The 17,985-nt window shown below is 40.0% G+C and overlaps 2 annotated features.

Moving 5' to 3' along the window:
- Positions 223-723: an enhancer, noted in NCBI's record as "NANOG-H3K27ac hESC enhancer chr8:140440618-140441118 (GRCh37/hg19 assembly coordinates)". NCBI's record gives its function as "activates a minimal SCP1, AML or CMV promoter by ChIP-STARR-seq in naive and primed H9 embryonic stem cells {active_cell/tissue: H9 hESC(naive and primed)}" and the evidence as "EXISTENCE:reporter gene assay evidence [ECO:0000049][PMID:30033119]".
- Positions 724-1,224: an enhancer, noted in NCBI's record as "NANOG-H3K27ac hESC enhancer chr8:140441119-140441619 (GRCh37/hg19 assembly coordinates)". NCBI's record gives its function as "activates a minimal SCP1, AML or CMV promoter by ChIP-STARR-seq in naive H9 embryonic stem cells {active_cell/tissue: H9 hESC(naive)}" and the evidence as "EXISTENCE:reporter gene assay evidence [ECO:0000049][PMID:30033119]".

The raw sequence follows: 17,985 nt of genomic DNA on the forward strand, positions 1-17,985 counted from the left end.
ATGAGTCGTCTTTTCACTTAACGGTACAACCTGGCCATCTTCTCATGTCAGTAACATCTCTCTGTTACGTTAATACTGTACCAATTCCATGGTATGGATTTTCCTTAACTACTGATGTACGTTTAAATTGTTCCCCTCCACTTTAAGGCAAATAACGCATCGCTAGAATACAGAGAATTTAGAAATCATCATAAACAATATTGATCAGAAATGGCTTCAGGGAAGAGAAAACAATATTTTAAAACACTACTAAACACAGGTCAAATCATGTTCTAACAAACAGACTTGCCCTAGGCCCCCATTGCCTGGCAGATAGATGCACAGTCCTTAGCATGGCCTGATTAAGGCTACCGCCATCTGGCCCTAACTCCATTTCAAGCTCCGCCACCCATCCTCCTGCCTGCAAGCCCTCTCTGGGTTATTTATGATTTCCTGAGCAGGCTGTGCCTTTGCTCCTGCTAGTTCCTGCCTGGAACGCTCCCTCGCCCTCTCCTCTCCCCTTCCTGCAGGCTCAAACTCCCTCCAGGAGAGCCGCTAGACACATTTACATATTAAAGGCTTAGAGAGGAGCTGCAGGCCAGGCACAGATTTAACTTCCATTCACACAGTCATCTATTTCTTCATTCAGCCGTTCTTCTCTCGCAGGATTCTTCAGTTTGCCTCCCTCTGTGCCAGCTCCAGGGACAGAAGAGGGGACAAAGCAGGTCTGGCTCCTTTTAGGGGACCCTCAGGTGGAGAGGCCACCGTTCAAAGTATTTCAACCAGGTCTTCTTGTAGCTGCACAGTGGCCATCCTGTGTCATGGATTTTCTCAGATCTGTAGTGTCCTGGACTGTAGTGGTGATTTGTTTCTATTTGTCCAGCAAGCTTGATCGTCCTCCTTTTTAGAGGACACACCTGACCTCCCTCCCTCCCTCCCCCATCAGCCCTGGCCCAGGTGCCTTAGCAAAGCTTCTTCCCTGACACCTGGAAGCTGCGGTTTGGCCAAGGGAAGGTCACATGATCCAGATAAGGCCAGTCAGCATTCATCCCTGGAGCTGCTATTATGGACTCTGGAAGAAAGAAGTTCTTTCCACCAGAGATGCCAAGCTGGGACAGGCCTGGTAGCGAGGTAGAGAGTCTGGGAGACATGAAGCCACCACACCAAAAAAAAACAGAAAAAAAAAAAAAGCCAAGCTTCAGAGATGGGCAGAGAGAAAGGGCCACGTGGTGTTCTATCCTCAAATCAAGTCCTGAGGCGAGGCTGCAGAAGCTCACTCTCATCCTCCAAGCAGCTCCAGACTGCTTTCCAGCGGGGGGGACAGTAAAATTCTTTTTTTTTTTTTTCAATTTAACTCCTTTTGACCTGGGGTTCCACCCCTTGAAAATAAGTGTTGTGACAAATATACAAACAGTTTAGCAGCTAGCCTGGTCCTTCGTATGAAAAGGGTCTGCGTTCACTGGCGTTTCCGCCTCTCTGAACTCACCTTGCTCACCTAAATCCAGAATCAGCCTTTTTTCTGCTTCTCATGATGTGCACAAGGACTTCCGCAGGTACCACCGTTTAGCTTGAAATATCTCTGCCTGGATCTTCTTGTTCCTCAAATGTGAGTTCACAGATCACCTCCACAGAAAAGCCTTGCCCAACATCAAAGGTAGCTTGCTGTGATTCTCACGGGCAGTATCCCAGGTCATGATCCGGATGACATTCTATGTTTACTAACCTCACTGTTTGCACTGCTTTGGAAGGTGAGCTCCAGGAGACCAGGTAGTTTGCACATCTTGTTCCAGTTGTGTCTCCAGCATCCAGGATAGTGACTATCACATGGCATGAAGTCAGTAAGTATCTATCAAATGAATGAACCAGCAAAGTAACAAAGGAAGGAATTAATATAAAGCAAGGAGCTTAGACTTTGAAACGGATGACCTATCTTACTTAGTTCGGGAAGCTGAAGAGAATGCCATAAACTGGGTGGCTTAGAAACAACAGAAGTTTATTTTTCACAGTCTCGGAGACTCTAAGTCTGGGATCAGGGTGCCAGCGTGGTCAGGTTCCGGCAAGGACCCTCTTTCGGGTTGCAAACTGATGACTTCTCCTTGTAACCTCACACATCAGAAAGGGAGGGTGAGTGAGCTCTCTGGGCTCCTTTTTATAAGGACACTAATGCCATTTGTAAAGGCTCTGTCCTCAGGCCCTAATCACCTCCTAAAGGCTCACCTCTTAATACTATCACATTGGGGATTGGGCTTCAACATATGAATTTGGAGGGGACACAGACGTTCAGTCCGTTGCATGACCTAAGATTAAATACAAGCTCTACCACAGATCACCTTACTTTCCCCGGGGAAAAGTATTCATTTTCTGAGACTCAGTAGCACCACTTGCAATGGGGAAAATATTAATGCACAATATAGTTGTATGTATTTATGTATTTATTTAACCCCCAACAAGACTGGAATATATGAATGTTCTATGTAAACTGTGAAGTCTGACTACACGATGATGATGATGATGCTCATAGCAGCTAACAATTATTAAGCACCTACTGTATTTCAGACATTGTGCTAATGGTTTTATGATGTTAATTAATGAAACTCTGCTGTGACTGTTAAGTAGGTATTAACATACTTATTTTAACAATGAAAAGGTGAAACTGAAGCTCAGAGGTATGACTAGTATCCAGAGATCAGCTGAGAAGGTGAAGTCTGGGATTTGAACACGCTGAGCAAATGAGCGAGGGAGCTGGTGGGAGGGTTGGCCTAAGTTAAAGACACTGTTGAACTCTAGGATTCTGCAGACTTTCGAGTCAACTAGCTGCCAATCTATTCCTCCAGTGTAGCTGTGCTTCCTCTTGGCGGCTATTTAATCAGCACGCCCCCAACTCTGCACTCCAGACACCCCTGACCCTGACACTTCTGGTGAATTCTGGACACTCCATTACTGGATAAAGAGTGCTGTGGGGTTTAACTTGTGAGCTCTGGACCCAGAATGGCTGAACTTGAACCAGCTCTGCCTCTACCTAGCTAAATGACCTTGGGCAGGTTGATAGCCTCTCTTTGCCTCAGTTTCCCCTGGATAAAAGGGGCCATAGCAAGTCTCTCCTCATAGGGGATGTGTAAGGATTACATGAGCCAACATAATTGAAGCACACTGACTAGCGTCTGACCCAGAGTGAGCGTTCAATAAACATTCACTATTTTAAACTGAACTATGAGGAAAGGGGGAGAAAGCAAGTTGGAATTAATAAAACATTCTGGGTTATACAACAACTTTTGGGAAATAAACAAAGTAATCTCAAGGCCAACTCCCATAGTATAATATTCTTTTGAATACTTGCATTCATCTACTCATGAATTCATTCAGAAAAAAACATCTTATTGAGTGTGGAGAACACTCTTGTCCTTCCCCTTTTCCCACCTGAGACACATACAATTATTAGCCTGATGAATCAAGATGGAGGAAATGTGATTCATCAGAGTTCCCCTAATGAAAGAGTGATGCAGCACTGTGTCAGGATAAACCCCACAGGAGCCTCCCGGGGCAGGGATGACTCTCCAAAGGCTCTTTGTAAAAATGGCCTCCTAAGAAAGGGATGCCTTGTGCAGATGTGAACCCTTTGTTTGCAGAGAACCAGATGGGTTCATACAGGTATGTACAGGGAAAAGTGATCAAGCAGAGCTCATCCTTGCATAATGGAGGGGGAGACTTTGATCGTGGAACTGGGGATGGAGTCTACAAAGAGAGAGCAGAGCTCATCCCTGCATAATGGAGGGGGAGAATTTTATCGTGGAATTGCAGATGGAGTCTACAAAGAGAGAAGAGTGTGCATGCTGGATGTTTGCGAGGGAACAGGTGGAAGGAGCAAAGGGAAAACACTTGACTCAACCATCCATCCCAACACAAAGGCAGGGGTCAGAAGAAGACACACCCTCCATGCTTCTTCAAAGGGTGGGCTCCAAGGAACTGGGTGAATCTTTCAAGATACCATTTGTTTTCCGTATAAGGAAGATTTATTATTTATTTATTTTTATTTTTTTCTTGTTTTGAGATGGAATCTCACTCTGTCGCCCAGGCTGGAGTGCAATGGTGTGATCTTGCCTTATGCACTCAAATGTTCAAAAGCGAAAATGGGTTTTTTGAGAGGTGGTGAGCTCTCCAGCAAGGAGGGTGTTTAAGCAGGAATGGGATGCTCTCTGAGTGAATAATTTGCTTCTCATTCACCCATTTGGAAAACAGAAAAGTTGATTTGTGGTTATAATTGTGTGTAAATTGTGTGTACAATTTACAGCCCTTTGTCCATCTGCCCTGTGAAATCTTCAAGCCAGGCTTTTCTGCAGGCAGATTATTTTAGCCCAACATGAAGATGCACCTAGCTCTGTGTCCTGGTTAGTGATGGGATGAACACCAGAACAGTTCATGTAGACAAAAAAATAATCTGAGGGTAGAAGGATATTATAGACTGGATTGTGTCACCCCAAAGTTCATATGTGGAAAGCCCAACCTTCAGTAATTCAGAATGTGATTTTATTTGGATTTAGGGCCTTTAAAGAGGTAGTTAAGTTAAAATAAGACCTTTAGGATGGCTCTAGTTTAATCAGACAGGGGTCTTTACAAAAAGAAGAGATTAGGATATATATAGAGAGACATCTAGGATGTGCTTACACAGCAAGCAAAGAAGAGAGGCCTCGAAAGAGACCAGACCTGCTGACACCTTAATCTTGGACTTCCAGCCTGCAGTACTGTGAGGCTATTAAAAATTAAATTAAAATTTAAATAAAATATTTAATAGTTTCTATTGTTTAAACCAGCCACTCTGTTGTATTTTGTTATGAAAACCCTAGCAAACTAATGCAGAGAAGGCCACCTCTATTTTATAAGCAGGGAGTCTAAGGTTTGGTGAGATTAAGTGATTTGCCCCAAGGTAAATGAACAAAGAGGATTTTAAGCCAGGCGAGTCTGATTCCAATAATACAGTGCCTGTATTATTTCTGCTCTCCTGCACTACTTCTTAATGTAGGATATCATGCTCAACACTATATGAAATAAAAATAGGTGAATCCCAAGTATATTATTCCCCCAGAAAGCATCCCATCCCGGCTTAAATACCTCCATTGCTAGAGAGCTCACCATCGCTCAAGCCATTCCCATTTTTGAACATCTGAGTGCATAAAAATAAATCTTCTTTATATGGAAAACAAATGTGAATTTTAGACGATTCACCCAGTTTTTTATGGCTGTCTCTTCGGAGCAGCATGGGAGAAGTATTTCTTTCTCTCCCCAGAACGTCCTTCAAGTTCTCTTAGAGGGCAGTCATGTCCACATTCTGCCTTTTCTTCTCAGACAAAGCAACCACACTATTATGAAAGCATCCTTATATGACAATAATTCCAAATTTCCTCCTTGTTATACTTAAATTAGGTTAACCGAGTTGCCTAGTCTAATTAGTAAAACCATCCTTAAAAAATGGAAAAGCATGATTTGAAATGAGTATAACTTGGCATCTGTACCAATTCATAGGCACAGGAAATTATTCACCAACAGTTTGCCTCCTCCCTGAGCCAAAGGCATATTGGGAGTGACCGGGAGCATGGGCTTGGGCTGTCAGTGTATAAAGCGATGAAGTGAAAACCACCATCTGTCACATGGAAATGAGAGCTCCTGAGAGGTACCTGGAGAAAGCATGTTGTCTCAAAGCAGAATGACGAGTCAGGTGGCCACAAAATCGATGGGAAGAAGAGTCTAATCAAAGCCCCTGTGGCTGCCCCACCCTCCAGCACATGGTGCAGACAGGGAAGCATGCAACGCAGCACTCGAATTCCTGGGGAAGCTGGCTCTGGCTGGTGAGTTGGAACACGGTGAGGACAGGTGCCTCCCTCTGCGTCTTTCTCTTTCCCTGGCTGTCATCCCCTCACTCCAGGGTTCAAGTCATTCCAAATCATTGTCAGGCCACTTCAAGTTCCCTGCCAAGGAGAGGAAGGAAAGGTGGTGTGCCATGAGCCATGTTGGAGCCCAAAGAGAGACCAGTGACTACAGGGGTTATGGAAAAGTCACTGAAAATTTGAAGTGGTTTCAGCAAAAGGGCCAGAAGGTACAACTGGCACCACAGGACATACTGACAGTGATCACAAGTGCCAAGCGGAAAAGACAAATTTGGGTGATAAATGTGTGGGCGTCTAAGGGTCATAATATAGCTGTGGCTATTCGATGAGAAAACCAGTGGAAGATGTGTGTTAAAATACTTTTAAGTATATCATATTCTACTTTCAAATGCATGCAAATATGCAAAGAGAGATAATAAAGGGATGCGGAGTGAAGAGTCTCAGAGAACCAGCTTTAATTAAGTTACCCAGTTAAGCATTTCTTAATGACTTCTAATGTGCCCAAACATTTACTATTAAGTACATTAACACATTTTTCTCTCCTAAGAGCAACAAAAAGGATGAAATATTTGACAAGCTTAAAATGAATTAACACAACTTTTATGAAAACAAACAAAATAATGAACACCAAAAATACTGCCCCACCACGCATTTACATCTGACAAAAGTTTATTGATGGGCATGAAGCAGATTTAAATAGAGAACTGTAATTGTTCCCAAATAGGCATACTCAACATTGTAGTATTGTTAGTTCTTTTTAAATTAGGTGTCTACAACTCCATCCTAAATCTTAGTGTGATACGGTGAAACTTCACAAACGATTTCTGAAGTTTATCTGGGAAAAGAATAAACACAGGAACTAGCCCAGGTATTTTGAAAAAAGAGAACAACAAGGGTAGCTTGCCTTTCCAGGTAGCAAATGTCTTAAGCCTCAAATAATTTAAGCAGTGTCATTCTGTTATAAAAATAGACAGAAAACTAAAATATAATAGAAATCCACAAAAAGACTAAATTACATAAAGTTTCAGAATATTAAAGAGTAGCATTTTAAATTAGCAGGTAAGTACAAGAATAGTAATTAAAGAATTATTTGAAACAATACGTTTTAGAGAAAAGCCAACTGAGATCCTCATCTAATACTACAGAAAGCTAATTGCAGATAGATTAAAACATTCAATATATTTTTAATGTAGTCATATAAGTACCAGAAGAACGTGTAAGTTCATAGTTTAAAAAAAAAACCTCATAGCAGTGGACTTTATAAAGTAAGAAAAGAATGGTTAAAATATTACAAAGGAAAATAAATTTTACTAATTAAAGCTTTAACTTTCTATATTTCAAGAAAATAAAATTAACAGATAAAGGAAAACCACAGTAATACTGGCGCTTCCCATGAGACATGGGAATAAAGCCTATAAATACCAATAAATATTCACTGAAAGCATAAAAGTTGGAAAAATCTGTGGACTGAAATCATACCTTTATTTACTCTGTCATTAGCATGATATTAACTGATGTCTTTATACTTTGATATTAGGCTCTAGCAGACTAGGTGTTTCTAAAGTATGTCTGTATCCCCATAGCATTTAGTACCCAGAGTCCAGTCTTAAATATATTCATACAATCAATTCATGTACCAAAGCAAAAAGATGTAGCAAAGAAGTAATCAGCTTTGAGAACACATGTATAAACAAAAGCACAGTTGACTTTCTAATTATTCTTCCCTCTGGAAAGTCGACATTGTAAAATAAGTTTGTTTCACATGTTCAAAAGGCAGAATGGTTTCAATCGGCTTTTGCTACATACAAACCACACCAAAATGTCGTGGCTTAATGTAACACCATTTACTGACTTTCCAAGTCTGTGGGTCGGTAACTTAGGCCGGGCTCAACAGTTCTGCTTATCCACCCAGGCTTAGCTGATCTTAGTGATAAGTGTGGAGCTTAGTGATAAGTGTGGTCAGCTTCCAGGATGGCTGAGGGCCAGCTGGCACCCACCAGGGTTCTGCTTCACAGAGACTCTCAACCCAGCAAACCAAACTAGACCTGTTGCTGTGGAAGATGGCCTCCAGGAGTGAAAATGGAGCTTGCAACTCCTCTGGGGACCCAGGCATAAAATGACATCCTATCACAGCTTTCTATCGGTCAGAGGGCAGGAAAATAGACAGTACTCTTGTTGTTGTTCAAGAAACATTGCAAAGAATTGTGGCTTTTTGTTTTCAATCTACCATAAAGATCTGCCTAAGAAGTCCAAAAAAGTTCTGAGTTTCATGACAATTTGTACATATATATTTTGAAATCTAGGCTGTGGACAAACACCTTACATTAAGGACCAGGGGTTGGAAAACAACCACCACTTGATCAAATCCAGCCTACTGCCAGCTTTCGTAAGTCGTTTTAGTGGAGCGCAGACATTCATTTTATATTGCCAAAAGCTGCTTTCACGATAAAATAGCAGAGTTAAATACCTGCACCCAAGACTGAATGGCCCACAAAGTCTAAATATTTATTGTCTGGCCCTTTGCGAAAAGTTGCTGATGGCTTTTCAAAACCATCATGCAATATGAAGGCCTTATGTGCATTTTTGTTTATGATCATATTGGCACCACGTAGGTAGCAATTGCATTAATTGTCTCACACTAATGAGAGAAGAACACAGCGCATTAGCATGTAAAATAATGGGTTTGTGTCTGGACAAGTAAAGTAAAATGGTATTATAGTGAGCTATATATGTGATTGTAAGCTTTTCAGTAGTTTGGAAGGAGACGTGTGGGAGGAAATTAAGTCTTCATATGACGACAAGAGTAAAGGCATGAGCAAATCAACAGTTTGTTCTGCAGCAGCCAAGATTATCTATACTGCAATTAGCCATAGCAATGCAGAAAATAACTTCATCCATCATTTTAGTGTTGTCACGTTGAATTTTATTGTTGGTATATATGTGTTTATATTTCTCTTAAAATTTTTCTTTGCTTCTGTTGTTGTGTTAGGGAGTTTGGTTATTCTCTCAAGGCAAGAAGAGAGTCTTTAACTTTGCCAACCCCACTTTTAATACAATTCATTAGGATAAACCTGGATTAGATTTCAAGAGACTAGGGAAATCTCTTTCCTGATCTGGCCTTCAGTCATTATCTAAAATGAAACATTTTAACTTAAACCGTGGCTCTCAAACTTCAGTGCACATGTTAAAAATGCATGGCTCTGAGCTCCATCTCCAGAAAATCTCATTGAGTAATAGAGGGTAACACAAAAGCAAAAGCAAACAAACAAACATGAAGCAAAAACTGGCAGAATTTAAAGTAGAAATAGACAACCCAACAAAAGCAGTTGAATACTTTAATATTACACTTTCAATAATGTACAAAGCAACTAGACAAATAATCAATAAGGAAATAAAATACTTAAACAACTAGACCTGCTAGACCAACTGGACCTAACAGATTTCTATGGAACACTCCATCCAACCGAAGCAGAATACATATCTTGTTGAGTACACATTCTCCAGGATAGACCATATATTTGGCCATAAAACAAATCTGAATACAAATTTTAAAAAAGTTAAATCATATAAAGTATGTTCTCTACCCATAGTGGAATAAAATTAGAAATCAGTACCAGAAGGAAATCTGGGAAATTCACAAGTACATGCACATTGAATAATACATCCTGAAATAACCAATAGGTCAAAGAAAAAAAAAATCACAAGGGAAATTAACTTTTGAGATAAATGAAAACAAAAACATAGCATAGCAAAGCCTGTGGGGTGCAGCTAAAGCAGTGCTTGGAGGGAAATTTGTAACACTCACAACTATATTAAAGAAATAAGTCATTAACCTAACTTCCCACCTTAAGAAACTAGAGAAAAAAGAGCAAAGTAAACCCAAAGCAAGCACGGGAAAGTAAACTCTTGGGTAGACTGACCAAGAAAAGAGAGAGAAGACTCAAATAACTAAAATCATAAATGAAAGAGGGAATGTCACTATGGACTTTATAGAAATAAAAAAGGACTATAAAGAAATACTATGAAAATGTTTATACTAACAAATTAGACATCCCAGATGAAATGGAAAAACTCCTAAAAAGACAGAATTACCAAAACTGATTCAAAAATATGGAAACATGAAAAGACCAATAAGAAGTAAAGATATTGAATCAGTAATCCAAAAAGTTCCAACGCAGAGAAGTCCAGGACAAGATGGCTTTCTTCATTAATTCTATCAGTCATCTAAAGAAGAATTAACACCTAATTCTTCTCAAACTCTTGCAAAAAATAAGAGTGAACACTTCCCAGTTCATTCTATGAAGGTAATGTTACTCTGATATGAAAATTCAACAATAATATCACACAAAAAACTGTAGACTAATATATTTCATGATTATAGATGCAAAATCCTCAACAACTATTGGCAAACTGAATCCAGGAACATATGAACAGGATTATATAGGATGACCAAGTGGGATTTATCCAAGGCATACAAATTGGTTCATCACACAAAAACTGTCAATGCAATACACTATATTAGCAGAATAAAGAACAAAAGCCACATGATCACATCGACATATGCAGAGAAAGCATTTGACAAAATCCAACACTCTTTTATGAAAAAAAATCATCCAATAAACCAGACATAGAAGGGAAGTTTCTCCACCTGATACAGAGCATCTGTGGAAAACCCACAGCTAACAGGAGAATTAATGTTGAAAGATAGAAAACTTTCCCTCTAGGATCAGGAATAAGACAAGCACGTCCACTCTCACCACTGCTATTCAACATTGTTCTGGAGGTTCTAGCCAGGGCCGTTAGACAAGAAAAAAATAAAAAGCAGCCAGACTGGAAAGCAAGAAGTAAAATATCTCAATCTGCAGATGACATAACCTAGTATATAGAATCCGAAAGAATCCATAAAAAGAATAGTAGAGCTAATAAACAAATTCAACAAGGTGGCAGAATACAGGATCAATATACAAAACAATCTATTGCATTCCTATACACTTTCAATGAACAAACCAAAAATGAAATTAAGAAAATAATTTCCTGTATAAAAGCATCAAAAGAATAAATTATTTAGAAATAAAATTAATAAAATAAATGTAAAACTTGTACATATATAATTATATATAGCATACATATGAACTGTTAACAAGGCTAAAATATTTATAATGATAAATGATCCCATTTATAAAGAGGACCTAATAATCTTAAATGTGTATGTGCCTAAAGAGTGCTTCAAAGTCCATGAAGCAAAAACTGAAGACCTAAAAAGAGAAACTGACAAACCTATAATTACCTTAAGACATTTCAACAACCCCCTTCAATAACTGATAGAACAAATTGAATGAAAATTAGTGAAGACGCAGAAGATCTGAGCCACATTATCAACCAAATTGAACTGATTGACATTTGTAGAACATTCTACCCCCAAACAGCAGAATACACATTATTCTTAAGTGCAAATAGTACTCACCAAGCTAGACCATGTCCTGATCCAGAAGCAAGTCTGAATAAATTTAAAAGGATTCAGATCATACAAAGTGTGATCTCTGATTACCATGGAATTAAATTAGAAATCAATAATACAAATATAGCTGGGAAATCCCCACATAGCTGGAAAATAAACAACAATTCTAAATTATCATGCATTAAAGAAGAAATCAAAAGGGAAATTAATATTTGCACTGAATGAAAAGGAAAACACAAAATTTTAATACTTTGGGACGTTACTAAAGCAGTCCTTAGGGAGAGTTTTAGCACTAGCTGCCTGTATTAGAAAAGTGTCTCAAATCAATTACCTTGATTTCCAACTAAAAAAAATAGAAAAGGAAGAGCAAATTATACCCAAAGTAAACAGGAGAAAGGGATAAAGGACAGAGCCAACAATTAGTGAAACTGAAAGAGAGAAACACAGTAGAAGATTTGATTAAAATCCAAGTCTGATTCTTTGAGAAATCAATAAACTGATGATCCTAGAGGCCGACTGAGCAGGAAAAATGAATCTGTAGTGGCGCCACATTTCTCACTCCTAATATTTTGCATCTCCTGTTTTCTTCTACATTCTGACTCATTGTTATTCAACGTGTTTTATCAGTTTTAAAGGAAAAGCACTGAAATATGCGATGAAGCCACTTTTGCAGGCTCATGTGGTTTTATGGAAGCTGAGGGTACAAGATTCTAAAGTACGTATAGCCAGGTATCCCAGCCCAAGTCTCAGAGTCTGTGCCCTTCTGGATATAAATGCAAAAAAACTCAACATAATGTAGCAAGTTACATCAAACAGTATATCAAAGGATAATGCATCATGACCCACTGGGGTTTATCGTGGGATGCCAGGCTGGTTTAACATTCAAAAATCAATCATAATTCACCATATAAACCAATCAAAAGAGAAAAATTATCTCAATCGATGCAGAAAAAGTATTTAACAAAATCCAATGTGCATTTCTGATAAAAATTCTCAGCAATCTGGGAATAGAAGGAATCTTTGCAACATGATAAATGACATCTACAAAAACCTGCAGTTAATGTCATACTTAACAGTGAAAAACGGAATGTTTTCTCCCTAATTTGGAAACAAGGCAAGGATGTCTGCTCTCACCACCACTATCCCACATTGTGTTGGAGGTTTCAGCAAATGCAGAAAGAGAAAAAAAGAAAAAGAAATAAAAGCCCTCTAGATAGAAAAGGAACAACAAAAAAACCCTGTTTTTATTCACAGATAACAGGGCCATTTACATGAAAAATTCTACTACATCTACAAAAAAGTTCTGAGAATGAAGGTATGTTTAGCAGGCAACAGGATACATAATCAGTATAAAAATCAATTGTGTTTCTATATACTAGCAAGAAACAATAAAAAAAATTATATTGAACACAGCATGGTGACCATAGGCTCACACCTGCAATCCCAGCACTTTGGGAGGCCGTGGTGGAGAGATCGCAGATCATCTGAGGTCAGGAGTTCAAGACCAGCCTGGTCAACATGGCAAAACCCTGCCTCTACTAAAAATACAAAAAAATTAGCGGGATGTGGTGGCACATGCCTATAATCCCAGCTACTCAGGAGGCTGAGGCAGGAGAATTGCTTGAATCCAGGAGATGGAGGGGGCAGTGAGCTGAGATCGTACCACTACACTCCAGCCTGGGTGACAGAGTGAGACTATCTCAAAACAAAACAAAAGAATAATGTATATTTCAAAATTACTAAAAGAATAGATTTTAAATGTTCTCATCAGAACGTATGGACACATAGGGTGAACAACACACACTGGGGCCTCTCAGAGGATGGAGGGTGGTAAGAGGGAGAGGATTAGAAAAAATAATTAATGGGTACTGGGCTTAATACCTGGGTGATGAAATAGCGTGTAGAACAAACCCCCATGACACACCTTTACCTATGTAACAAACCTGCACATGTACCGCTGAACTTAAAAGTATAAAAAAATTCTCATCATACAAAAACAGCAGGGGAAGTGATGGATATGTTAATTAGCTTGATTTAATCTTTCTACAATGTATGCATGGATCAAAACATCACATCATAGCCTATAAATATATATAATTATTTTATTTGTCATTAAGATTTTTTAAATGTGATTTGAAAACGATACTATTGAGTCTTCCACTTCCAGGAAGATGAGCACATGCCTTTCCCTATCCCTCCTGCTAATGGCAATGGGAAACCCTAGGCATTATACATAAAACAAATGTGGGAAGACTCTGAAAGGTGGGAAGCAGAAGGTAGACCTACCAGGAACCTCAGGACCTGGGGACTGACAAGGATGTGAGTTCCCTGTTGTGGGTATGTAGTGGGAGGTACATAGTAGGTGTATATCTTTAAGGGGTACATGAGATGTTTTATACAGGCATGCAATGTGAAATAAGCACATCATAGAGAGAATGAGGTATTCATACCCTCAAGCATTTATCCTTTGAGTTACAAATAATCCAATTACATTATTCAAGTTATTTAAAAATATTCGATTATTATTGACTATAGTTTTATATGTGTGTGTGGGCTTCATCTATCCCAGACTTGGAGCAGATGAAAATGGCAACACAGAAACTCCAGCAGGCATGAACCATCCAAAAAAGTCCCAACAAAAAAGCTTGTTTTCTCTATCCAAAGGCCCAGGAAAGAGGCAGGCTAGTAAGACAGAAAACTTTTAGGCAATAACCCCTTTACTCAGCCAAACACCACAGAAAAAAACTGTGGCTGCAGCCCACCCAGGCCAGCAACAGTCGTGGGGGTAGCCTGGAGTTCCACTCTTCAGACAAATCTCAAAATCATTATATAGAGTGAAAGAAACCAAACTAAAGAAATACCTCCTGCATGATTCCATTTTAAAAACATACTGCTTAGAACAACAGAAAGCTGATGAGCATTGCCTGGGAAGCTGGGAAAGACCAAGGGACAAGAAGAAGCTTCAGAGCATGGGATTTGCTCATTATCTTCATTCCCTGAACTTCTCCTTATTAACTGGAACAAGAGGGTCTGGAACACTCATAAATTAAGTTGGATGCTCCCATTAGTTATAAAAACAAAACAAACAAAAAATAAAAATAGAAGAAGATGAATTTCTTCTCTCTCTGAATTTGAATATATATATATAGAGAGAGAATATATATATAGTCCATATATATATATATGGACTATACATATATATATATATATATGGACAAGTTAGGGGTAAAATATAAGATTTTATCACTCAACATATTTGAAAAACTTTAAAAGTAAACCACTTTAACAAATGGCAGGGTCCCGTCTGCGAGGGTCTGCAGGCTGAATCCTCAATGTGCCTGCGTCAGTTCAGACGCAAACAAGGGCTGAACGCTACAGTCCACAGAGCTGAATCCAGGAAAACCCATTAACACCCTTGCATGGGATAAACTGGAATGCATAATGGATCATGGCTTCAAATTTATTTTAGTAAATGGTCCAATAATTTGAAGTGAAAATAAATAATTCATCCTCCTCTCCCTCTCAGCCCTCCAGCTTAGAAGATATATCGTAAGCTGAAATCACGGTGCAGTCTTCGGCAGATTCTTTTACTGAATTTCCATCTTAAAGACACAACTGGGATGGTTCCTAATGAGCAGCTGTCCCCTGAACCCTGTGTGCTCCATACATGGATAGACACAGATTCGCAGCTCAGCAGGGACCCGGAGGTGGCCGTGGATGTTGTTGTCCACCCTGCTGATTCAGCGTTCCTACTCTTCCCTTCTCTTCACTTTATGGGGAGCCACTTGGATCATTCATTCTGGAAACCTTGCCATGTTGCAGATACATCACTCATGACTTTCCCTCCCCCACCCCGTTGGAAACTACCATTCTGCCTTCTGTCTCCCACTCCAGGAATTCAGCCCAAACACATCCAAAAGTGGGACAAAAACTTCCCCAGCTGTGTTCCTTCGGTCCCATGAAGCAAAAATCAAAGAACATCATACTAGTCACTGAAGCATTCATCCTCTTGCCGGGTTCCCTCTTTAGCAGAAAGTATTTGTTTACTAAACCCTCCCTGCATTCAACAAAGTCCGTAAAACAAAAACATGTTTCAAACTGTATTGTGTGTGTGTTTTTTTTTAAATCTTAACTATCCTACATATGGAGAAGGGACAAATTACATTTCATTCACAAAAACCATATTCAGCTTCTAACATCCTCCTCCTACGCATATTTATTGATCACCTACTATGTGTTTTGACAGCACTGCTGATGACAGCAGTGAAGAAAGGAGACAAAATGCTTGTTTTTCCAGAGGACAGTCTAGTGGGGTCAGAGGAGACATGCAATAATTGACATAAGTCACTGTAAAAGTCTGAAGAAAATACTACATTTTGGGAAGGACTGTGACCTAGGGAATGGGGAAGGGGAGTGCTAGGAGGAAGAGCTGCAACCAAATCAGGAGACAAGATAAGCCCAAGGGGAAGATGATTTTGAGCCGCTGTTTGAAGTAGGTGAGGAAGGAAACCCTGCAAATATTGCAGGAAAGAGGATTCTTGGTAGAGGAACCAGCAAAGGCCAGTGCTCAGAGCAGCCGCACGCTTGCAGTGTTCCAGGGTCTTCACAGGGCCCCTGCGGCTGAGGAGGAGAGTGAAGTCAGAGTTGGTGGGACCAGATCATCTAGAACCTTGAATGTAAGAAATATGGCCTTATTCTGGCTGAAAGGAGATTACTGAGAAGCTTTGAGAAGCGGCGACATAAGTTTTCGTTTTATTTAAAAATATTGATGAAATACGCACAACATAAAATGTACCATCTTAACCCTGCTTAAGTGTACAACGCGGCCAGGTTAAGTGCATTCACATGGTTGTACATCCATAATCACCATCCGTCTTCCAAACTCTTCATCTTGCAAAATGAAAACTCTGTACCCATTAAACAATCACTCTCCATTCTCTCTTCCCCCAGCCCTGGCACCCACCAGTCTACTTTCTCTCTCCATGAATTTAACCACTCCAGGGACCTCATCTAAGTGGAACCATACCATATGTGTCCTTCTGTGACTGCCTTATTTCACTTAGCATAATGTCCTCAAGGTTCATCCCTATCATAGCATGCATCAGAATTTGCTTTATTTTTAAGGCTGAATTATATTTCATTGTATGGATGTTCAACATTTTGTTTATTATTCATCTGTTAATGGACACTTGCGCTTGTTCCCTTTTGGCTACAGCAGTGAATGTGAGTGTGCACATACCTCTTCAAGACCCTCCTTTCAATTCTTTGTATTGGGTATATAGCTATATGTGCAATGCTAGGACATATGGTAATTCTATTTTTCAACTTTTTGAGGAACTGCCATACTGTTTTCTTGCTACAGTGTTTAGGGATAGACTACAGGCGGACAAGAATGAGAACAGGGGGGGTCACTGAGGAGGCTGCTTTAGATCTGTTTCCATGCCAGACTCCAAGATGAGAATTTGCCTGCAGGAACTTTACTGGAGATTGCATGGGAAGGGAGGGATATGTGTGAAGAGAGAAGTAGGATATGGCAGAGCAGAGATTGTTTGAACAGAGACATGGTTGCACAAAAGGCCTCTTCTGATCCCAAAGGACTCTGAAGCTGCAAAGACTCTTTAACGTTATTCCCATCTTGACACAAGGCCTTTCTAACCCCACATTGATTGGTTGCTGGATGTATACTGACTCCAGAGTTCAGGCGTGACTTTGACTAGGCAGCTCTCTTCAATAGAGGACAATTCCCAGAGAGGGACTCACTGACAGCCTTCATCCACCAGCCCCACCAGCAACTGAAAAAAATGTATGCTTCACTTCTGAAGGGCCAGAACTAACCCCAACCATAACCCTTCCCAGGGAGTCTGGGTAGCACACCACTGTATCCACTACAGAGACTTCCACAGTGATCTATGCAATTGCTAATTGTGGCTTGTTCAAGGGTATTAGCAGTCGAGTCAACCAGAAGTGTTGAATCTTTGAACTATTTTGCAGGTGAAGCAAAAATTATTTGCTCAGGAATTAGATATCTGATGTGAAAGAAAAGGTTTAAACTAGAATGACTCCCAAATTGTTGGCCTGGCTACTAGAAAGATCAAGCCACCATGAGCTGAGGCACGGAAGACTGTGGCAGGGAAAGGTTTGGGGCCAGGCTTAGGAGTTTCACTTTAGACATGCTGTAGATGAGGTGCCTGCAGACACCCATGGGCAGAAGTGGGTAGTTGAGTACATAAGGGCAGGTTTCAGAGGAAAAGTCCAGCTGGGACAATGTAGGGGGTCATTCGTGTATAGATATTTAAAGCTGGAGACTGAAAAAGGTCATCAAGGAAATGTAGACAGGGAAGAGAAGAGGGGGTGTGAAGTTTGAGTCCTGGAAGTCCAACTTTTAGAGGAGAGAGAGACCCAGCATAGAACAGTCAGTAACAAGAGGAGAAGCAGAAAATGTGTGTGTCTTCTATTCTCTGTGTTTCACTACCACCCTGGATTTATTCTTCGTCCTTTCTCATTGTGATGTGTCCTGGAAGGCTGTCTATCTCTCCTTTAGCCACCTCCTGGGCTTCCATGCCCTCTGGCTTCCCTTTGCATTTAGCCAATGGGAGGTGCTTTCAGGAAACCAGATGGGGCAGGGAGAGAGAGATGGGGACATTTATCCCTCCCATGCCATTTTTCTTC

This window comes from Homo sapiens, chromosome 8, assembly GCF_000001405.40.
Source record: "Homo sapiens chromosome 8, GRCh38.p14 Primary Assembly".
NCBI classification, from domain to species: domain Eukaryota; kingdom Metazoa; phylum Chordata; class Mammalia; order Primates; family Hominidae; genus Homo; species Homo sapiens.